This window comes from Homo sapiens, chromosome 19, assembly GCF_000001405.40.
Source record: "Homo sapiens chromosome 19, GRCh38.p14 Primary Assembly".
NCBI lineage: Eukaryota > Metazoa > Chordata > Mammalia > Primates > Hominidae > Homo > Homo sapiens.
In genome coordinates this window covers 42327451-42350453 of record NC_000019.10, presented here as the reverse complement: position 1 = coordinate 42350453, position 23003 = coordinate 42327451, and the positions used below count along the sequence as shown (strand labels likewise).

Genomic DNA, 23003 nt, shown 5'->3' with positions numbered 1-23003 from the left:
CCCTTGACTGCCCATTGCCTGCTGTGGCTCCCTCCACCTTGTGACCTCCCCTGGTGGCCCCACAGGCACCTGGGTGCAGGCGTGGCAGTCCCGATGCTCCTCGCAGAGTGGGCAGAGGGTAGGCACCAGCACCAGCAGGGACCCACCAGCCCCGTCATCCCCGCAATGGGCTCCGCCCTGGCGCAGGTGGCAGGTGGCACTGGTCAGGCACCAGCCACAGCCCTGGTCTGCCAAGCAGCCCAGGCAGGAAGAATAGGAGGTGCAGGACGACGAGCGGTAGGGCTCCAGGAAGAAGAAGGAGATCTCCTGGGGAAGGGGTCACAGGAAGGCAGCAGTCAAGGTCTGGGGCAGGGGTCAGAGTCTGGCGCTAACTGAAAGTAAGGGTTTGGAGCCCAGGTTGAGAACTCAGGCACATAGGAAGTCAGGATTTAGGAAATCAGTAAAGAGGTCCAAGGTCTGGAGGAATCTGGAGATTATTATAGGTCAAAGTATGGAGGGCAGAGGTCAGGGTCAGCAGGGTCAAGGGTGAGGAGTCAGAAGATGGGGGTCAAAATATGGGATCAGGTTAGGGTCTATAGGCAGAGGTCAGGGGCCACAGGGTTCAAGAGGAGGTCCAGAGTTCAGAGGCCAAGAGTTAAGGAGTCCGAGGCCAGAATCTAGGGATTTCAGAGTTTGTGGCCTGGGGTTCAGAAAGCCCAGGTGATCTGAGGCTGGGGCCTGCGGCTAGGGTTGGAGGTAGGTCCTGGGTACTCACGCTGCCTCCTGGCACACCAGTCCGATCCCACAGCAGAGTTAGCTCGCTGTGCCCAGGGCCTGCCGAGCCATTGAGCTGGCCCTGGATCTCTACTGCATACTTGTGGTCCCGCCCAGGCAGAGGGAAGAGGCGAGCAGACCCAGGGCGCTGCAGCCGCCGCGTCTCCTTCTCCTGATGAGCCACCCAGCGCCCCACCTCCTCCTGGGGTAGGTGTGAGTGATAGGCAGGGGCCTCAGAACCCTTCCCATTCCTTCCTCAGACCCCTGATACCTCCAAACCCACCCTGTACCCCACCCCCTCCTAAGAAGAGGGCCTCAGAGCTCCTTAGATCCTGAGAACCTCAGAGGTGAGACCCCCAGGGACCCTCCTCCTCAGGGGCTTTTTTTTTTTTTTTTTTCTTGAGACAGGGTCTCATTCCATCACTCAGGCTGAAGTGCAGTGATGCGATCATGGCTCACTGCAGCCTCAACTTCCCAGGTTCAAGTGATCCTCCCACCTCAGCCTCCCAAATAGCTGGGACTACAGGTGCATGCTACCATGGCCAGCTAATTTTTGTATTTTTTGGAGAGATGATGTCTCGCCATGTTTCCCAGGCTAGTCCCAAACTTCTGGGTTCAGGCAATCCACCTGCCCCTACCTCCCAAAGGGCTGGGATTACAGGTGTACACCTCCATGCCCAGCCTTCAGGGGCCTTTCAAGTCTGACTCAGACCTTCCTCACCTGCTTCAAAGTTTCCCTCAAATTCTGCTCACAATTGAAAACCTCAGCACCCTCCCTCCTCTACGAAAGATCCATTCCCAGCCAGGCGCAGTGGCTTACGCCTGTAATCCCAGCACTTTGGGAGGCCAAGGTGGCGGATCATCTGAGGTCAGGAGTTCCAAACCAGCCTGGCCAACATGGTGAAAACCCATCTTTACTTAAAATGCAAAAAAATTAGCCAGGAGTGCTGATGCACATCTGTAATCCCAGCTACGTGGGAGGCTGAGGCAGAAGAATTGCTTGAACCTGGGAGGTGAAGGTAGCAGTGAGCCGAGATCGCGCCACTGCACTCCAGCCTGGACAACAGAGTGAGACTCTGTCTTACACACACACAAAAAATCCATCTCCTGCCTCTAATTTCTCCCCAGCCCTTCCCCAGAACCTTCAAATCACCACAGATGCTCTATACCACACCCCTAACTCCCTATTTACCATAAACAACCCCCTGAATGTCCCAGGCGGCCTCACCATGTTCTCCGTGTCAGGGCCACGGGCCATCCGGGCCAGGACGTGTAGGCGCTGGGCCCGCGTCCACACGGCCACGTCCTCAGCCCCTGGTCCACCTGGCCCTCCAGGCAGCATTGGGTAGATGAAGCCACGGTAGACCAGGGACACATCTGTCTCTGCGCTGGGTGTTAGGGTGATGGTCGTGCTGCGGACAATTGAGACCTGTGCCACCAGGGATGGGTGTATGTGTGAGTCCCTTTCTGGACTCACAGGCCACATCAGAGCCAGAAAAGACTGGTCAACCCAACCTTCTTCCCCATTTTACCAAATGAGAGACTGAGGCAGAGGGACAGGGGTTAGGTGGCTTGTCAAAGGTCACTCTGGGAAAAGAGGCAAGACCTAAATTCAGACAATAGACGACAGGGTCCCAGAGCCCACCTTTACCCCTGGCCTCTAGCCATTTCCATCTCACATTAAAACTCCAGGACTGGACACTTCAGTGTCTTCTTATCCAACTCCTCACCTTTCCAGCTAAGCACTTCAAAGCCCAGATCTAATATTCAAAGTGGCAGACAAAGTGCAAGATTTATTTTCCTGGTGTGTGATTTTGTAATAGCAGAAGAGTGGAACAGTCCAAGTGTTCACCAGTGGGAGGCTATTTAAATAAACTACAAATGTAAATGGAATATTATACAACTTAAAAAAAAAAAGAAGAATGAAGGCTGGGCACGGCGGGCACTTTGGGAGGCCGAGGTGGGCAGATCACTTGAGGTCAGGAGTTCAAGACCAGCCTGACCAACATGGTGAAACCCCATCTCTACTAAATACAAAAAATTAGCCGGGAGTGGTAGCGTGCACTTGTAATCCCAGCTACTTGGGAGCCTGAGGCAGGAGAATCGTTCAAACCCGGGAGGCAGAGGTTGCACTGAGCCGAGATTGCGCCATTGCACTCCAGCCTGTGCAACAAGAGCAAAACTCCGTCTCAAAACAAACAAAAAAAATACAAAAAACAGCCAGGCATGGTGGTGCATGTTTGTAATCCCAGCTACTTGGGAGGCTAAGGTGGGAAGATCACTTAAGCCCGGGAGGCAGGGTTGCAGTGAGCTGAAATCGCTTGCCACTGCACTCCAGCCTGGGCGATAGAGAGAGACTCCATCTCAAAAAAAAAAAAAAAAAAAGAATGAGAGTGTTTCTTAAGTTCTGTTATGGGAAGCTTGCCAGGAAGAAAAAAAGGAAGCAGTCGTATAATGTTCATAGTATATTAGTTTAGTGAGAAAGAAAAATGATATGATGTCATGCTTACTTGCATCTGAATAGGTAAATTCTGGAATAAGATCAAAGAAACCCAAATGGATCTTCCAGGGAGGTATGGTGGCCTTAAGTTGCAGCCATGCTGGAGCTAGATAATTTTGGACCACTTAAGGGGTAGGGAGTGGGGTAAATGAGAGAGACTGTCCATTTAGTGACTTTTTTTTCTTTTTCTTTTTCTTTTTTTTTTTTTTTTTTTTTGAGACAGAGTCTCTCTCTGTCACCCAGGCTGGAGTGCAGTGACATGATCTCAGCTGACTGCAAGCTCCACCTCTCGGGTTCACGCCATTCTCCTGCTTCAGACTCCTGAGTAGCTGGGACTACAGGTGCTCACCACCACACCCAGCTAATTTTTTTGTATTTTTATTAGAGACAGGGCTTCACTGTGTTAGCCAGGACGGTCTCGCTCTCCTGACCTTGTAATCCGCCTGCCTTGGCCTCACAAAGTGCTGGGATTACCGGCGTGAGCCACCGTGCCCAGCCTTTTATTTATTTATTTATTTTTAATTAAAATGGAGTCTCACTCTGTTGCCCAGGCTGCAATGCAGTGGCGTGATCTTGGGTCACTGTAACCTCTGCCTCCCAGGCTCAAGAGATACTCCTCCCTCAGCCTCCCAGGTAGCTGGGACTACAGGCACGCATCACCATGAGCAGCTAATTTTTGTATTTTTAGTAGAGATGGGATTTCGTAATGTTGGCCAGGCTGATCTCAAACTCCTGACCTCAAGTGATCCTCCCACCTTAGCCTCCCAAAGTGCTGGGATTACAGGCACCCGACATCACGCCCGGCTAATTTTTGTAGTTTTAGTAGAGACAGGGTTTCACCATGTTGGCCAGGCTGGTCTCAAACTCCTGACCTCAAGAGATCCGCCCACCTCGGCCGGAATTACAGGCGTGAGCCACCGTGCCCAGCCCCAATGACTTTTGATGTCACTGTGATTTTTGAACCATGTGAATATATGAGCTATTTTTAAAATCAATAAAGAGGCCGGGCATGGTGGCTCATGCCTGTAATCCCAGCACTTTGGGAGGCTGAGGCAGGCAGATCATGAGGTCAGGAGATCGAGACCATGCTGGCTAACACAGTGAAACCCCATCTCTACTAAAAATACAAAAAATTAGCCGAGTGTGGTGGCAAGTGCCTGTAGTTCCAGCTACTCAGCAGGCTGAGGCAGGAGAATCACTTGAACCCGGGAGCTGCAGGTTGCAGTGAGCCAAGATCGTGCCACTGCACTCCAGCCTGGGCGACAGAGAGAGAGACTCTGTCTCAACAACAACAACAAAAAATCAATAAAGAGGTACTGTGGAAAACAGTTTGGACATTCCTCAATAAGATGAATATGGAATTAACATATAACCCAGCAATTCTGCTCCTAGGTATACAGCCACAAGAATTGAAAACAGATGTTCAAACAAAAACGTGTACACAAGTGCTCATACCAGCATTATTCACAATAGTCAAAAGATGGAAACAGCCCAAACGTCCATCAGCTGATGAATGGATAAACAAAATGTGGTCCATCTATACAATGGAATATTACTCAACCATAAAAAGGAATAGAGTTCCTTTCCAAATGAAGTTATAAAATGAATGAGCCTTGAAAACATTACGCTGAGTGAAAGAAGCCAGACACAAAAGGCCACATAGTACAGGCCTCCATGTACATGAAATGTCCAGAACTGGCAAATCCAGAGATGGAAAACAGATTAGTAGCTGCCAGGGACCGGGGGGAAGAGTGGAATAGAGAGTGACTACTTAGTGAGTCCAGGGTTGTCCTCTGGGGTGATGAAAATGTTCTGTAACAAGATAGTGGTGATGATTGCACAATATTGTAAATGTGCTAAATGTCACTGATGAAAAATTTTATGTGTATTTTACCACAATGTAAAAATTCTTTTTAAAATCTATAAGGAGGCCAGGCACAGCGGCTCATGCCTGTAATCCCAGAGTTTTGGGAGGCCAAGGCAGGCGGATCATTTAAAGTCAAGAGCTCAAGACCAGCCTGACCAACATGGTGAAACTTCGTCTTCTACTAAAATACAAAAATTAGCTGGGCGCAGTGGCGGGCATCTGTAATCTCGGCTACTCAGGAGGCTGAGGCAGGAGAATCACTTGAACCCAGGAGGCAGAGGTTGCAGTGAGCTGAGACTGCGCCACTGCACTTCAGCCTGGGTGACAGAGCAAGACTCCCTCTCAAAAAAAATAAAAAATAAAGTCCATAAGGAAAATAAGACCCTTGAATGTAAAGAGTTTTGGAGTAAACATAAGAGTGATAAAGATGCATTTGAGAAAAAACAAACCCTAGGATCAGGATCATCAACACCCCACCCAGGGCCACGCCTCCTACCCACCTTGTCAGGCTGGGAGGTATTGGGCGGCTGCTGAAAGGTGAGCAAGTGCAGGCCAGGCAGGAAGCTCTGGGTGACGCAGGCCTCCAGGGACGTGACGAAGACAGGCGCAGGCCCCCACCAGCCCACAGTGCCTGAGATCTGCTCCCCTCGGCAGCGGGCCTGCTCTGAGAAGACAGGGGGTGGGGGCCGGTGGGTCAGTGTGGAGTGCTCTGGCCCCCTCCTGCCGGCCCACTGCTGCGGACACTCACCAGGCCTAGGGAGGCAGCTCTCATTGTGCACGCACCAGCCCAGGGTGCCAGGTCCCCGTGGAGGGGCTGTGGGGCTGCTGAAGGCCAGGCAGGCCTGGCAGTCACCCAGGAGGCGGCCCAGGCCCAGGCAGCTGGCGGCTGGACACTGCGAGGAGGAGAGGGGAAAGGGCTCACTGTCAACTGGAGCTCAAGAGATCTGGGAAGGAAGGGCTGTGGATACAGGGTCCTGCGATGGAAAGGGCGAAAAAACTGAAGAACGGGGAGTTGACTTGGAATGTGGGAGATCCAGAGGACGGGGGATGCGGGGATGGGGTCACGGGCTCAAAAGGGTCGGGCTGGGTGGGATAGGCAAAGGTTCAGGGCTCCGCAGTCAGGAATCAGGAAGGAGGATCTCCGGCATGAAAACAAGTCTCCCAGTTGAGGGAAAGTTCTTGTCCATCTGGTTAGGCAGAGGGAGACACTGAGGGCAGGTCTCTATGCTAGGGAACAGAGGGTCTAGGGCTGTCACTCACAGCCCCCAAGGGGGTCCCAGGAGGGGGTGCAGCTTGGCAGGCTCCTTGGCACCAACTGCATTCCGGGTCCCGGGAGCAGACGCTGTGGTCTGTGTACATGGAGCAGTAGTCCAAGTGGTACTGCAGGGAGGCAAGGGGACAGAGGGGGAGGCAAGGGGACGGAGGAGGAGGCCTCTCAGACCTGGGCCGGCCTCCCAAGTCCCCGCTTGCTTTAGCTATCCCAGAGGACCCTGAGTGCTCAGCATGCCCATCCATTCCTCCCCCAGGCCCAGGGACCTCTAGCTCCTCTTTCCTCTGCCCCAGGGACCTCCTTCCCTTCTCTCATGGTCCTAGGGATCCCCACTCCTTCTCCCAGGGATCCCCTCCTGCCTTTCCCCTCACCTGTGGAAACCCTGCTACCTCCTCCCCCCAGCCACCCTTTCCCTGTCACCCCAGTGCTCACGTCAGGGGCAGGTGCCTGGAACACAAAGGGGGGCACCTTGTACGCCATCAAGTCCCCACGGGGCCGGCCGCTGTACCCCCCAGCCACCAACAGGACGCTGCCACCAAGCACCGCAGCTACATGTGAGTACCGACCACTGGGAGGCGCTGCTCGGCCTAGGGGAATAGAGACCCCAATGACATTATTAGACCCCCAGCCCCTCCACCACCTCCATGGCTCCTGATTCTCCTGGGCCACAGCCCAGCCTTCTATTCCGGTGGCTGCTTCAACCTCACCTGCCCAAGGACACTCTCCCAGCCCACCTGGCCCTGAACAAGCTGAGCTCCCTCGCCCCTACCCAAATCATCTTTCTGATCTTTAGGGTCAGAAAGACTTGGGTTCAAATCCTGCATCTACCACTTACTTGGGTTCAAATCGTGGATCAACTACTGACTAGCTGTGTGACCCTGGACAGGAGACTGAACTTCTCTGAGTCTTGGTTTCCTCCTCTATAAAAAGAACCATCATCTCGTCCTCAGGGAGCTGGGAGGACTGAAGAATCTGCTGAGCCCCCAGTAGGCTGCCTCAGTCTCCCATTTTTGTCTGTCTAGCACCAGCCTCTCTTCTGGTGATAGCGCCTGATTTTCCTCTGGAAAACCAACCTTTCCCTTTCCCAATCTGTGAGACTTAGGTGGAGTTGTCCCTGGTTCTGGCAGAAGTGAGGCCTTAGCCCAGGCCCATCAGTCTCAGTGACTGGCTCAGGGAGGGGTACAGGGCCTGATTCTCAATTCTTGGGGCAAAGACACTCCCTTCTTTCTGGGCATTTTATGGCAGAAGATAATCCACGAGCTGCCTGTGACCATCTACACAAGGCAAGAGACTGAAGTGAACCCAGCTGAAAAATTGAGTGAGAAATGGCTGATGCCATTTTGTGAGCACCTAGATCCAGCCCAGCCTGAAGACAGCCCCTACAGTTTTCACTCAAGTGAGCCAGGAAATTCCTTTTTTTTTTTTTTGAGACAGAGTCTCGCTTTGTCACCCAGGCTGCAGTGCCGTGCCACGATCTCAGCTCACTGCAAGCTCTGTCTCCCGGGTTCACACCATTCTCCTGCCTCAGCCTCCCAAGTAGCTGAGACTACAGGCGCCCGCCACCAAGCCCGGCTAATTTTTTGTGTTTTAGTAAAAACGGGGTTTTACTGTGTTAGCCAGGACAGTCTCGATCTCCTGACCTCGTGATCCACTCGCCTCGGCCTCCCAAAGTGCTGGGATTACAGGCATGAGCCACCGTGCCCAGCCAGAAATTCTCCTTTTTGCTTAAGCCAGCTGGGTTGGGTTTCTGTCAGTTACAGCCAAGAATCCTGACTGACAGGTAAGTGGTCAGTGAATGGTGACTTCCCTACCCTCTTACTGACCTGCGTGCACTGTAAACGTGTGGGACTTGGCCCAGGTAATCACAAACTGCGAAGCAGGAAGAGGCCTCCAGAAACATCACACTCCTGACTCCTGCCCAGTGAAGGGGACCAAGGGATAGGCAGACGAGACCTAGAATGAGGGCCTCAGACACCAGGCCTGGACTTTATTCCTGATGGTCACACAGGGTTCCTCTGGGGCCTTTCCTCCTTCCCATCCCTTAAGTGCTAAGGTTCCTTCCTTACGCTTGTCCTCTCCTCTCTCTCCTTTTCAGGGAGGAGGAGTGAACAGATGCGACTCTGGGAAGCCCACACGTCCCCGAAGTGATACGCCCAACTTGCAGGTATAAGCATCTTCTGAAGAGAGGGCCTGTGGCTTTCATCCGATTTCAAAGCAGTGTCTGATTTAATGAGAGTGAAAGGTTTCTCCATATCTCCTCCCTGGTGACCCCTCTGGCCCTGAGACAGGACCCTAACTGCTATAAGAAAGACAATATGTCTGGGCGTGGTAGTTCACGTCTATAATCACAGCACGTTGGGAGGCTGGATCTCACAAGGCTCGCTTGAGGCCAGGAGTTCAACACTAGCCTGGACAACACAGCAAGACCCTATCTCTAAAAAACAAAAATATTTTATTTAATTAGCCAGGCGTGGTATTGTGTGCCTATGGTCACAGCTATTTGGGAGGCTGAGATGGAAGGATGACTTGAGCCTAGGAGCTCAAGACCACTCTGGGCAACATAGGGAGGCCTCATCTCTACAAAAAATTTTAAAAAATCTGTTTTTATGTGTGTTTTTTTTTTTTTTTTTTTTTGGAGATGGAGTATCCCTCTGTTACCCAGGCTGGAGTGCAGTGGCACGATCTTGGCTCACTGCAACCTCCGCCTCCTGGGTTCAAGCGATTCTCCTGCCTCAGCCTCCTGAGTAGCTGTGACCACAGGCATCTACCACCACGCCAGCTAATTTTTGTATTTTTAGTAGAGACAGGGTTTCACCATATTAACCAGGCTGGTCTCGAACTCCTGACCTCACGATTTTCCCGCCTTGGCCTCCCAAAGTGCTGGCATTACAGGAATGAGCCACAGTGCCTGGCCAAAAATTCTGTTTTTAATTAGCTGGGAAGGGTAGCATGGGCCTGTGGTCCCAACCACTTGGGAGGCAGAGGTGGGAGGACTGCTTGAGCCCGGGAGGTCAAGGCTGCAGTGGGCTATGACTGCACCACTGCACTCCAGGTTGGGCAACAGAACAAGACTCTGCCTCTAAAATAGTAACAATAGGCCGGGCGTGGTGGCTCATGCCTGTAATCCCAGAACTTTGGGAGGCCCAGGCAGGCAGATTACTTAAGGTCAGGACTTCAAGACCAGCCTGGCAAACATGGCAAAACTTCAACTCTACCAAAAATACAAAAATTAGCCAGGAGTGGTGGTGCACATCTATAATCCCAGCTACTCAGGAGGCTGAGGCAGGAGAATAGCTTGAACACGGGAGGTGGAGGTTGCAGTGAGTGGAGACTATGCTACCGCACTCCAGCCTGGGTGACAGAGCAAGACTCCATCTCAAGTAAAATAAAACAAAATAGTAACAACAATAATAATAATGCCTGGCCGGGCACGGTGGCTCATGCTTATAATCCTAGCACTTTGGGAGGCCCAGGCGGGCAGATCACAAGGTCAACACAGTGAAACCCCATCTCTACTAAAAAAATACAAAAATTAGGCCAGGCACGGTGGCTCACGCCTGTAATCCCAGCACTTTGGGAGGCCGAGGCAGATGGATCACTTGAGGCCAGGAGTTCGAGACCCACCTGGTCAACATGGCAAACCCCATCTCTACTAAAAATACAAAAATTAGCCGGGTGTGGTGGCACACGCTTCTAGTCCCAGCTACTCAGAAGGCTGAAGCATGAGAATTGCTTGAACCTCGGAGGCAGAGATTGGAGTGAGCCAAGATCACACCACTGCACTTCAGTCTGGGCAACAGAGCAAGACTCTGTCTCAAAAATAAATAATAAAAATTTTAAAAAAGAAAGGAAATGTGTGGAGCACTTCACTGGGCATCATTCTTGAAGGATCATCTCAATTTACTCTTACAGCTATCCAATGGCATTACGTGTTATAATTTTCATTTCACAGATGAGCAAACTGAGGCACAGAGATTAAGTAATAGTTTTTGTTTTTGTTTTTTTGGGGACGGAATCTCACTCTGTTGCCCAGGTGGGAGTGCAGTGGTGCGAACTCAGCTCACTGCAAGCTCTGCCTCCCAGGTTCAAGCAATTCTCCTGCCTCAGTCTCCTGAGTAGCTGGGACTACAGGCGCATGCCACCATGACTAGCTAATTTTTTGTATTTTTAGTAGAGATGGGGTTTTACCATGTTAACCAGGATGGTCTCAAACCCCTGACCTCATGATCTGCCCGCCATGGCGTCCTAAAGTGCTGGGATTACAGGTGTGAGCCACTGCACCCGGCCTTAAGTGATAGTTTTATACAGATTGTTGTTTGGGGATAGCCATGCTGGCTCTGTCACTTATCTACTGTGATCTTGAAAAAGTTACTGCTAAAGATACTATCAACAGAGTAAACAATGTACAGAATGTGAGAAAATATTTGCAAACTATGCATCCAACAAAGATCTAACATCCAGAACCTATAAGGAACTTAAATAAACTAACAAGCAAAAAACAACCCCATTAAAAAGTAGACAAAGGACATGAACAGACATTTTTCAAAAGAAGACATACACGTGGCCAATAAGCATATGAAAAAATGCTCAATATCACTAATCATGAGAGAAATGCAAATCAAAACCACAATGAGATACCATCTCACACCAGTCAGAATGGCTATTATCAAAAAGTCAAAAAATAACACATGCGAGTGAGGTTGCAGATGGGAATGTAAATTAGTTCAGGCATTGTGGAAAGCAGTTTGAAGATTTCTCAAATAACTTAAAACAGAATTACCATTTGACCCAGCAATCCCATTATCGGGTATATACCCCAAGGAATATAAATTGTTCTAACGTGTATGTTCAAAGCAGCACTGTTCACAATAGCAAAGACATGGAATCAACCTAAATGCCCATCAATGATAGACTGGATAAAGAAAATGGAGGCCAGGCGCATTGGCTCACGCCTGTAATCCCAGCAATTTGGGAGGCCGAGGCAGGTGGATCACCTGAGGTCAGGAGTTTGAGACCAGCCTAGCCAACATGGTGAAACCCCGTCTCTACTAAAAATACAAAAATTAGCCGGCTGTGGTGGTAGGCGCCTGTAATCCATCTACTCGGGAGGCTGAGGCAGGAGAATCGCTTGAACCTGGGAGGTGGAGGTTGCAGTGAGCCGAGATCCCGCCACTGCACTCCAGCCTGGGCGACAGAGCGAAACTCCGTCTCAAAAAAAAAAAAAAAAAAAAAAAAAAATACATAGAAAGAAAAAAAAAAAAAGAAAATGTGGTACGTATACATCATAGAATACTATGTGGCTATAAAAAAGAATGAGATCATGTTCTTTGCATCAGCATGGATGGAGCTAGAGGCCCTTATCCTCAGCAGACTAATACAGGAACAGAAAACCAAATACTGCATGTTCTCACAAGTGGGAACAAAACATCGAGTGTACAGGGACACAAAGAAGGGAACAACAGACACTTGAGGGGCCTACCTGAGGGTTGGAGGAGGGAGAGGATCAAAAAACTACCTACTGGGGCTGGGCACAGTGGCTCACGCCTGTAATCGCAGCACTTTGGGAGGCCGAGGTGGGCGGATCACCTGAGGTCAGGAGTTCCAGACCAGCCTTGCCAACATGGCAAAACCTCGTCTCTACTAAAAATACAAAAAGATTAGCCGGGTGTGGTGGCATGCGCCTATACTCCCAGCTACTTAGGAGGCTGAGGCGGGAGGATCACTTGAACCCAGGAGGTGGAAGTTGCAGTGAGCCAAGATTGCACCACTGCATTCCAGCCTGGGCAACACAGTAAGACTCCATCCCCAAAAAAAAAACAAAAAAAAAACCTACCTGTTGGGTACTAGGCTTAATACCTGGGTGATGAAATAATCAGTACACCAAATCCCCATGACACACAATTTACCTATATAATAAACCTGTACTTGTACCACTGAACCTAAATTGAAAGTTAAAAAGGCCAAGCATGGTGGCTCACACATGTGATCCCAGTACTTTGGGAGGCTGACGTGGGAGGATCACTTGAGGTCAGGAGTTTGAGACTGGCCTGGCCAACATGATGAAACACTGTCTCTACTAAAAACACAAAAAAATTAGCCAGGCATGGAGATGCATGCCTATAATCCCAGCTACTCAGGAGACTGAGACAGGAGAATCGCTTGAACCCGGGAGGTGGAGGTCGCAGTGAGCTGAGATCACGCTACTGCACTCTAGCCCGGGCGACGGAGCGAGACTCCCTCTCAAAAAAAAAGAAAAGAGGCCGGGCATGGTGGCTCACGCCTGTAATCCCAGCACTTTGGGAGGCCGAGGCGGGCAGATCATGAGGTCAGGAAATCGAGACCACCCTGGCTAACACGGTGAAACCCCGTCTCTACTAAAAATACAAAAAATTAGCCAGGTGAGGTGGCAGGCGCCTGTAGTCCCAGCGATGCAGGAGGCTGAGGCAGGAGAATGGCGTGAAACCCGGGGGGTGGAGCCTGCAGTGAGCTGAGATCACATCACTGCACTCCAGCCTGGGCAACAGCGAGACTCCGTCTCAAAAAAAAAAAAAAAAAAAGAAAAGAAAAGAAAGTTAAAAAGAAGGAAAAGTTGCTGCCTCTTAGGCATTTCCCTGGGGCAGCTGGAAACTGGCAAAACCTGGATTGGAACCCACATTGGATACTGCGGTAAGGGCCTCCCATCTCCATGGTGACGATGCCCTAGTCCCATCTCCATCCCAGGCTTGCCTCCTAAGGCTGGCACCAACTGGCCTGGATGTCAGGCTCACCCTTACGGACTGAGGTGGCTTGAGCCCAGAATCACTATGGAGAGAGGTGGGACCCTCAGGAGCCCCTAGGGAAGAACAGGGACCACTCACCCTCAGGGGTTCCTGGCGGGGCAAGCTCAGCTCCTGACACCCATTGATGGCAGCCAAGGTGGTAGAAGAAGATGCCATCTTCGTAGCACTTTTCCTCCTGGTAATGGGTGTGCACATTGCCCCCTGGGAATGGAGGAAAGGGGCATAGCTGGCAAGCCTAGGGGAGGTGGGGGGACTCCCCTGCAGGGAGCCTCAGCTCAGGGTTGGCTCAGGCCCTCAGCAGGCAGGCAGGCAGGATTGGGGAGCCTCCTCACCATAGACCACCATGTAATTGCCCAGAACACTGGCTGTGTGGAAGGCTCGCTCCCTTGGGCCCTGAAGCCCATCCCGCCCCTTCAGCGTCGTCCACACATGCCGATCCACGTGGAAAAGCTCAGTGGAGTTCACTCGCACAGAGAACCTACCGAAGGAGAAGCAGGGCAGGGGCTCAGGGCAGGAAGCGTCTCTCTCCCTCCTCCAGGCTCTTAGGAGCCATGTGATCACCCAGGGATGAGACTGGCCATGACTGACTCTATGTCCCCTCCAAACTAGAAGTTCCCTGTGGGCAGGACCCTGAGTCATCTCTGAGTTACCTGCATAAGCTAGCAAGGGCTGGACACCAAGCAGGGCTCTGTTGAATAGATACATGGGTGGGAGTGTGTGGAAGGCAATTCACCAAGAGATTGAATAAAACATCAGAGAATGTGTGAGTGGGTGAATGAATGAATGAGTGAACGAAGGAATAAGTAAATACATGAAGGAAGGAGTGACTGAGAGACCACAGGAGTCCGACAGTGGGCAAAGACCTCTAAAGACTAAAGGCCTATGGTGTTGAGCTGGGCCTGGCCTGTGGAGCATGGGTTATGGGACAGGTCACTTACCGGGCAGTGGAGGGCCGGTGTCCACCATGGACCAGCAGGGCACGGGAGGGGGCATGGAACACCATGGAGTGGCCAGTGGCAGCAGGGGGCCGTCCGCCTGCCGGAATCACCTGCTCCCAATAGCCCCCGCTGGTGCTGTCAAGGCGGAAACGGAAGAGGCCAGAGGAGAAGAGGTCGTGCGGGGTGCGGCCTCCAGACACATATAGCCAGACATCATCCACCAGGGCAGCCGCGTGACCTGCCAGGCCTGGGGGCCCCGAGGAGCTGGAGGCAGGTGGTGCCAGGAGCTCCCAGTGGCCCCTGCCCAGTGGACTGAAGGCCCACACGTCGTTGGTGAGCGAGCCGTCAGCCAGCTCACCACCCATCAGTACCAGGGAGCCGGCCCAGGCCACGGCCACATGGGAGTGACGGGCAGCCTGTGAGGAAGAGAAAAGAGACAGAGGTAGAGACACAGCAAGAGAGCCAGAGCCAGGCTTAGACAGAGAGATGCAGAGCCAGAGAAACATGGAGAGAAGGCGAGATAAAGACAGAGACAAAGAGAAAGGCAGAGACCGGCAGAGAGAGAAAAGAAGAGACAGACTCATAGAAACAGAGAAATACAATAAGAGAGAGAAAAGGCAAGGAGACAGAGTTAAAGGGACAAATGGCAGAGAGAAACAGATCCAGAGAGATGGAGACACAGAAACAGAGAACACAGAAGCCCAAAAGTCAGACAGACGAAAACAGAGACAGATTGAGCAACAGGAGACACATGGAAAAATAAGATGCACAAAGGCAGATAAAGGAAGAGGAAGAAGAAAAAAGAAAACCGGAGAGAAAAGGCAGAAACAGGGAGAAGTAGGTTCCTATATCAAGCTGCAGGAACTGTGGGAGCACTAGGTGATAGGGGATCATTCCGGGGGTCCCCGGCTGGGTCTGATTGAGTGGAAAGGCTCCTCCAGGGCAGAGGAGGGGTCCATACCGGGGCAGGACTCAGGTCCCAAGACTCCCAGGTGTTGGCGGAGAAGTTGTATAGGACGAGGTCACCCAGGGCATTGTTGAGGTCCTGGCCTGTGGAGGGGTGGATAGTCTCATGCCCTGGCCATAGGCTGCCGGGCCTCCAGATCCCAGATACTCGCCCCATCTGCTCACCTCCGAAAACTGCCAGCAGCCCTGGTGGGGACAGGAAGGCGCCAGCTGCCCCAATACGGGCAGAGAAGGCAGGGTCCCTGGCACTCACGTTGTGCCACCACCCAGCCCCCTGGTTCTCCCACAGGTGCAGGTCACAGGCACGTCCCAAGAAGCCAGGCTCACAGCGGCATGGTCCCAGGGGCTGCGGGAAAGGAGACATAAAGGCAGAGATAAGAGAGGGAGAGACAAGGACAGAGAGACAAAGGAGACACAGAGAGGAAAAGAGGCAGAATGAGACAGACAGGGCACAAAGGGAGAGAGAAAGAGACAGACAGGAAGGGAGAGGATGGAAAAGGAAAGAGAGAGAGAGAAAGGGAGACAGAGAGAGACAGGAAGAGGGGAAAGGCAAACTGTCAGACAGAAACAAGAGACAAAGAGAAACAATCAGAAGGAAGCAGACAGACGGAAAAAAGAAGACCAACAGAAAAAGGAAAAGATGCACAGAGAAAAAGGAGAAAAGACAGAAAGACGGCAGGCTGGGAGAATACAGACAGCGTAGTTGACATTCAGCCTGGACTGAAAGAGCTCAGATCTGGGGAGGTCAAGGCGGGGAGGGCTCAAAGCGCAATCCAGATTGAAAGCTGGATGTACACAGCTTCGGCGTAAGGTCAGTGGTGCGAGGCTGGAAGTCATGGCAGGGGTCCAAGGCCACACAGAGTGGCTGGATGGGAGGACAGATTTGGGCCTGGCTGGAGGAAGGAGGGTGGTGTTCACAGATGAGAGTGGGGTATAGATGAGAGTGGGATATCCTCAGCAGGGGAGGCCCTGCAGGTGAAGGTGGGGTGGGGTTGGAGTAACAGGTGAGGGGCAAGCTCTGGAAGGAGAGGGAAGTGGGTGTCACGGAGGAGGGTGGGGTGGTGGGGGGAGTTTCATGCAGGAGCAAGGTCAGACCTAGGAGATGGGCGTGGAGGCTGCGCTCACAGATCAGGGCCCCAGGGGAAACAGGGCTGGGGACCGGCTCACCGAGGCGCAGGTGCCGTGGCTGCCACAGTAGGCTGAGCACTCCTGCAGGCCACAGTCAGGACCCCCCCAGCCCGGCTCGCAGGCACACACACCCGGTGGCTGGCACTGCCCGTGGCTCTGGCAGCCACCCGGGCACAGGGAGAAGCGGAATGAGGCGTTAAAGCCCAGCAGGTTGTAGTTGGCATCACTGAAGAGGTGCAGCAGCATCTGCGGGCACAAGGTGTGCTGGGTAAGGTGGGCAGGGCCTGGGGATTGTCCTGGGAGGGTGGCCCACTCCTGCCCCCTTCCACCCTGGGGGACCCAGAGCCTCATCTCCTTCCTTTGCCTCTCTCCACCTTCCCTTGTCCCTGTGCTCTGCTCTTGGATGCCCTCTTACTGACTCTCTGTCCCTCCTTTCTTCTTCCATTTCCCTCGGTGTATCTGCCACGGCCCCATCCCCACTAACCTTGCCTGAGGAAGCTTCGATGGGCGGAGGTCGGGTGCTCCCACTTAGACTGGCAAGCAGCGGCCCTCGCGGGGAGTCACCGTCATACACGAACAGGTAGTCATACGTGCACTCTGTGTCCAGGAAAAGGAAGTCCAGCAGGATCCGGTGCTGGGGGCTTGGGGCTGGGAGGTGAGCACAGAGGGACCAAGCTCTAAAGCGGACCTTCTCCCCACACCTCCCTGCAGCCTCCCACAATTGTACACCAAACCCTGATCCAGGTGATGCTGGGGGCTCAAGAATGAGTCAGACCTGGGCCCCGCCTTGAAGGGGCCCCCAGTCTCATAACCTAGGGCAGTCAAGGGCTGTGACAGCCAGAGGGACAGGAGCCCAGAGAAAGAATCATAATATTCCAGACCTCTAGAAAGGTCACCTGAGATCAGAATGAACACTCCCACCATTCAGATGGGAAAATTAAGTACAGAGAAAACCCCATCCCAGTGGCCACACAGAGCAGAATCCAGTGTTCCTGATGCCTCTCTCTTCCTGTCCATGCCTGAGTTTCAGACATGTCCAGGCTGGAGGGTCAAGGTCATAATCCCAGTGAGAAGAGCACCTCCGTGACACCACCCCTGGCCCACGCTGAATAGAGCTGCAAGAGAAGAGTCCAGCTTCTTCCCCCAGAACAGAGGCCTAACCTTGGAGCGGCATAGTTCCCCTCTGTCCCCATCCAGAGTCTCACCTCTGCTTATTGTGATGGTTACAAGCACAAACTCTGGAACCAGACTGCCTGAGCTTATGTCTTGGCTCTGCCACCAAATAGCTACCAGCTGTGTGATCTTGGCCAAGTAACCCACCCCCTCTGGATCGGTCTCCTCATCTCTAAAGTGGGATATAGTGGTACTGTGGTGGAATCAAACTTATAGGCCACTCCTGCCATTGAAAGTTAATTCCCTGCCTCTCGTATCTGGGAAGAGCCTTAGTGACTTGCTTGACCAATAAAAAAACAGCAGAAATTCTGAAACTTCCAAGGCTAGATCATAAGAAGACTTGTACTTTTCACCTGGGCCTCGTAGAATGCTCCTTCTCAGAACACAGCTGTCATGATAGGAAAAGCCAAAGCCGGCTGGGCACGGTGGCTCACACCTGTAATCCCAGCACTTTGAGAGGCCAAGGCAGGCGGATCACGAGGACAGGAGTTTGAGACCAGCCTAGCCAACATGGCGAAACCCCGTCTCTACTAAAAATACAAAAATTAGCTGGGCATGGTGGCGGGTGCCTGTAATCCCAGCTACTTGGGAGGCTGAGGCAGGAGAATTGCTTGAACCTGGGAGGCAGAGGTTGCAGTGAGCCGAGATTGTGCCATTGCACTCTAGCCTGGGGGACAAGAGCGAGACTTCGTCTCAAAAAAAAAAACAAAGAAAAGCCAAAGCCACAAGAAAAGGCCACACACAGGCATTCCGGCTGACAGTCCCAACTGAGCTTCCAGCTGACAGCCAGCATCAACTGCCAGCCCTGGGAGGGACCTTCCTGGATGTCCAGCCAAGGTGAACATTCAGCTGACTGCAGCCCCAGCTGACATCTGACTGCAACCTCATGAGGAGCAATAATGCACACGAAATGGTGACAACAGAGTGGGGTGGGTGGCTCACGCCTGTAATCCCAGCACTTTTGAGAGGCCAGGGCAGGTGGATCACCTGAGGTCAGGAGTTCCAGAACAGCCTGGCCAACATGGTGAAACCCTGTCTCTTACTAAAAAAAAATACAAAAATTAGCCAGGCATGGTGGTGCAAGTCCCAGCTACTCAGGAGGCTGAGGCAGGAGAATTGCTTGAACCCGGGAGGCAGAGGTTGCAGTGAGCCAAGATTGCACCACTGCACTCCAGCCTGGGCGACAGAGGGGACTCAAAAAAAAAAAAGAGGCTGGGTGCCGTGGGTCACGCCTATAATCCCAGCACTTTGGGAGGCCAAGGTGGGTGGATCGCTTGAGGTCAAGAGTTCGAGACCAGCCTGGCCAACATGGTGAAACCCCGTCTCTACTAAAAATACAAAAAATTAGCTGGATATGGTGGCACATGCTTGTAATCCCAGCTATTTGGGAGGCTGAGGCAGGAGAATTCTTGAACCCGGGAGGCAGAGGTTACAGTGAGCTGAGATCATGCCATTGCACTCCAGCCTGGGCGACAAGAGTGAAACTCTGTTTCAAAAAAAAAAAAAAGAAATGTTGACAATGGGGCCCACATATCGTGGAGAGTGCCACTACCCCTAACACTGTCACTGTCTTATTCTCTGCCAGTCCTAGTTCAGGTAGCCTCTCTCATTCCACATCCCACATGAGAAGCCTTCTGAACAGGCAGCTCAGGGGAGTCCTCTGGGTGAGGGAAATTAGGAGGCCTAGGCTCTGGCTCTGGCTCTGGCTCTGCCCATGACCAGCTGGAGGACCCTGGGCCAGCCCTTTCCCCCATGACCCTCAGTGTGCCTATCTGGATCCTGGAGACACTCAGCCACCACTGCCAATGGCTGGGTGATCCTGGGCCAGTTCCATGGGCTCTCTGAGCCTTAGTTTCCATGACTGTAAAATGGGGATAATTCCCCCCACCCACAAAGGCTGGGGTGAACATTCAACGAGGTGATGACTCCAGCCTGCCAGCTTAGAGCCAGAGTGTGCCCTGGCTGCCCGGCCTCATCCTGTCTCACCAGAACCACTGATCCAACCTCCTTCTTCCCCTGACATGAGTCTCTGATCTTCCCAACTCAACATCTGGCCCCGTCCCTCCCCTGCCCCAAAGCCCTGCATGGCTCCCTACCACCCTAGGAGAAAGTCCAGGTCCCTAACCTGCTGTTCAGACCCTCGCTTTGTCTCAAATCACCCCACTGCTTACAGCTCTAATGGGAGCTGGGCCTTTGTACAAGCTTCTCCCTCTGTCTGCAACATATTATCCCTTCCCACCACCAGGCCTCTTCCTGATGCCCCCTAGCTGGGTTAGATGCCCCCTCTCCAGGGTTCTCACATCCCATTATAACCTTCATTCCTCTGGGCCAGGAACATCTATGTCCAGGTCTGTCTCCCTGCAGCCTACAAGGCCCATAGAGCAGGGCCTGGATGTGGACCTAATTCCCTCTGCAGCATTGCCCAGACCCGGGCTTGGCAAAGGCTCAGGAAATGCTGGATGATGAAATGAAGAAATACATAAAAGACAGAATACTAAAGCTGGAAGCTCTCCCTCAGGCTCTAACCAGAGCCCCCAAGACATCAGACACAGACCCCACCCATGCTTTGGGGAATGCAGAAGAACCATTCAGCACGGCCACACAACCAGACCTCCCAGAATCTTACCAGCCTCAACCAAACTATAAAGCTCTGTTTCTGGAATCACAAGTACATCTTTGTTAAGTGCCTGCTGGAGGCCAGCTCACCATCTGCCTCCCCAAGTTCTTCCCTAAGTTGAAGGTCTTCTGTTTCCACCCAACCCCCATACCACTCCAGACAGAAATCTGATCCCAAACTCCCTCCTGCTCAAAAGCAGGATGCCTCTTATCCATGAGGATGTTATAAGGACTAGGACTGGGCTGGGCGTGGTGGCTCACGTCTGTAATCCCAGGGCAGATCATTTGAGGCCAGGAGTTTGAGACCAGCCTGGCCAACATAGAGAAACACCATCTCTACTAAAAATACAAAAATTAGCCCGGCATGGTGGCACATGCCTGTAATCCCAGCTACTCAGGAAACCAAGGAACAAGAATCACTTGAACCTGGGAAGCAGAAGCTGCAGTGAGCCGAGATCAAGCCACTGCACTCCAGCCTGGGCAACAGAGCAAGATTCTCTCTCGGAAAAAAAAAGTCTAGGACTAGATAAAGTATGAACATAATACAAAAGTTAGTAGGTTGGTTGTTTATCTTTTTTTTTTTTTTTTCCCTGAGACAGGGTCTCGCTCTGCTGCCCAGGCTGGAGTATAGCAGCGCAATCTCGGCTCACTGAGACCTCAGCCTCCTAGGCTCAAGGGATCTGCCCACCTCAGCCTCGCCGGTAGCTGGAGCTATAGGCACATGCCACCACCCACCAAGCCCAGCTAATCTTTTGTAATTTTTTTGTAGAGACAGTGTCTTACCATGTTGTTCAGGCTAGTCTCTAACTCCTGGGCTCGAGTAATCCTTGCATCTCAGATTCCCAAAGTGCTGGGATTACAGGCATGTGCCACTGCCCCTGGCTGGTTGTTTATTTTATAATAGATAGAGGAAGATGTTGGTTCTTATAGGTAAGAAGTGACAGGCATTGGTAAGAACAGAAGATCATCAAGGGGGATCTGGAGGTCTCCCAGCCTCCTCCCTCACCCCAACATCTACCCAGTTGGTCCCCAAGTCTTATAGGTGAAACTCCACAAACATCGATTGCACTGTCTACACCTCTCCACCCCTCTAAGCCCCTGCCCTAGTTAGGAACTCATCCTCTCTTGCCAGATCAGCTCATCAAGTCTCCAGTCTGCCCCACACCCAACCTGAGGGCAATGCCCTACTCCTGCTCAAAACCTCCTGTGGCTGCCCATCAACCCCAAGGGGAAGGCCAGGCTGCTCAGTGTGACATTCAAGGCCCCTCTTCCCCTGCTTCTGGCTCTCATTACCTCCCAGTCAAAAGTGCCATAAGACCAGGCAAACCTAGATGGGGATCCTGAGACACTCCAGCCACCCTCACGTCTTCATAGAGGCTGTTTGCTCCCTTTTCCCACTCAATAAACTCCTATGCATGCTTCAGAACCCTATTTTAGTGGCTCCTGCTCTGTTATCTGCAGCACAGTCCTCTTTCCTCCCTAGGTACATCCACCCCACCCCTCCACTTTCCTTCTTAGCCCTGAGCACTGTCTCAGTGAACACACTGGGGGCTGAATATCTGTGTCCAGCCCCACCATTCCCAACCAGTCTGAGACGTTTTTTCTTTTTTTTTGAGGTAGAGTCTCGCTCTGTCACCCAGGCTGGAACCACAGATGTGCGCCACCACGCAGGGCTAATTTTTGTAGTTTTAGTAGAGAGGGGGTTTCTTCATGTCGGCCAGGCTGGTCTCTAAAGCCTGACGTCAGGTGATCCGCCCCACTTGGTCTCCCAAAGTGCTGGGATTACAGGCGTGAGCCACCGCACCTGGCCTAACCAGTCTGGGACTCTTTAAGGCCAGAGAGTGATTTATATCCAGCACACAGACCCCTTCGCCACACACACACACACACACACACTTCCTATTCTGTTCTCATCCCACTAGCTTGACAGGAATGGCCCCCAAGCTGGGAACAGGTAGACATGCTATCACTGAGAAACAGGCCTTCATCCATACCCCACACAGCAGCCAGAGAGATCTTCTAAAACATAAATCAGATCATGTCCTCTCCCTGCTCAAAACCCTTCCATAGCTCCCCAGAGCCCCCAGACAAAGACAAAGCTCCACAGCCTCCCAAGGGAGGCCCTGCATGATCCAGGCTCTGTCACACCTCTGGCCTTTGCCCAGGACCTCCCCTGTCTGGAGGCCAGCTTTTACATCCACTACTCTGTGAGGCCTTCCTGGGCTTCTGCAGGTACTGCCTTTCAACTTCTCTTTCACCCCTGTATTGCCCTCAGGATACAGCTCAAAATCACAGAGCCCTACACCTGCTGGCTCCTCCCACCCTGCAGCCTCTGGCTCATTCGTTGTCTTGTATTCTATGTTTTTGTTTTTGTTTCAGATGGAGTCTCGCTCTGCCGCCCAGACTGGAGCGTAGTGGCACAATATTGGCTCACTGCAACCTCCAGGTTCAAGTGATTCTTGTGCCTCAGCCTCCTGAGAAGCTGGGACTACAGGCGCGCGCCATCACACCCAGCTAATTTTTGTATTTTTAGTAGAGATGGGGTTTCACCATACTGCCCAGGCTGGTCTCAAACTCCTGACTTCAGGCGATCTGCCGGCCTCGGCCTCCCAAAGTGCTGGGATTACAGGCATGAGCCACCATACCCTGCCAGTATTCTATGTTTTAACACACTGGATTTCTAGTTCTTCAAAAGCATCACTCTCCCGCTTCCCCGCCTTTGCACAGCTATTCTTGCCTGGAATGCCCTTCTGCTCCCTCGTACAGATGCCTCTGATCTCAGCTATACCCCAGGTTAAGCCACATGTCTTCACAGAGAAAGAGCCACTGGGGCAGGGTTCTGAGGCATGCATAGGAGTTTATTGGGTGGAAAAGGAAAACAAACAGCCTCGGAGTGGGTTTGTCTCTCCCACTGACTGGGAGCCCAGAAGGGTAGGGCTGGGGCCTTTCCTCCCACTCCTGACAGATTCCTATTGGTCCTTTAAGTCTCAGCTTAGACATTTCCTCCTCCAGG

At 52.3% G+C, this 23003-nt stretch overlaps 1 protein-coding gene across 2 annotated transcripts in view, besides 1 other annotated feature; it reads right to left on the bottom strand.

Moving 5' to 3' along the window:
- Positions 1–23003, bottom strand: part of MEGF8 (multiple EGF like domains 8) — a 53131-nt gene that overhangs the window by 28312 nt on the left and 1816 nt on the right. Inside the window, exons 2-15 of one of the 2 annotated variants that reach the window (NM_001271938.2) lie at positions 16686–16849; positions 16241–16447; positions 15239–15419; positions 15069–15157; positions 14108–14523; positions 13502–13647; positions 13248–13370; positions 6823–6977; positions 6381–6500; positions 5869–6013; positions 5621–5784; positions 1982–2182; positions 755–955; positions 70–306 (exon numbers count right to left, since the gene is read on the bottom strand). In NM_001271938.2, the coding sequence (NP_001258867.1) occupies positions 70–306; positions 755–955; positions 1982–2182; positions 5621–5784; positions 5869–6013; positions 6381–6500; positions 6823–6977; positions 13248–13370; positions 13502–13647; positions 14108–14523; positions 15069–15157; positions 15239–15419; positions 16241–16447; positions 16686–16849 (2549 nt within the window). The remainder of the gene's footprint in view (positions 1–69; positions 307–754; positions 956–1981; positions 2183–5620; positions 5785–5868; positions 6014–6380; positions 6501–6822; positions 6978–13247; positions 13371–13501; positions 13648–14107; positions 14524–15068; positions 15158–15238; positions 15420–16240; positions 16448–16685; positions 16850–23003) is intronic. The other variant, NM_001410.3, reaches the window with a different exon arrangement.
- Positions 150–651: an enhancer, noted in NCBI's record as "H3K4me1 hESC enhancer chr19:42853955-42854456 (GRCh37/hg19 assembly coordinates)". NCBI's record gives its function as "activates a minimal SCP1, AML or CMV promoter by ChIP-STARR-seq in primed H9 embryonic stem cells {active_cell/tissue: H9 hESC(primed)}" and the evidence as "EXISTENCE:reporter gene assay evidence [ECO:0000049][PMID:30033119]".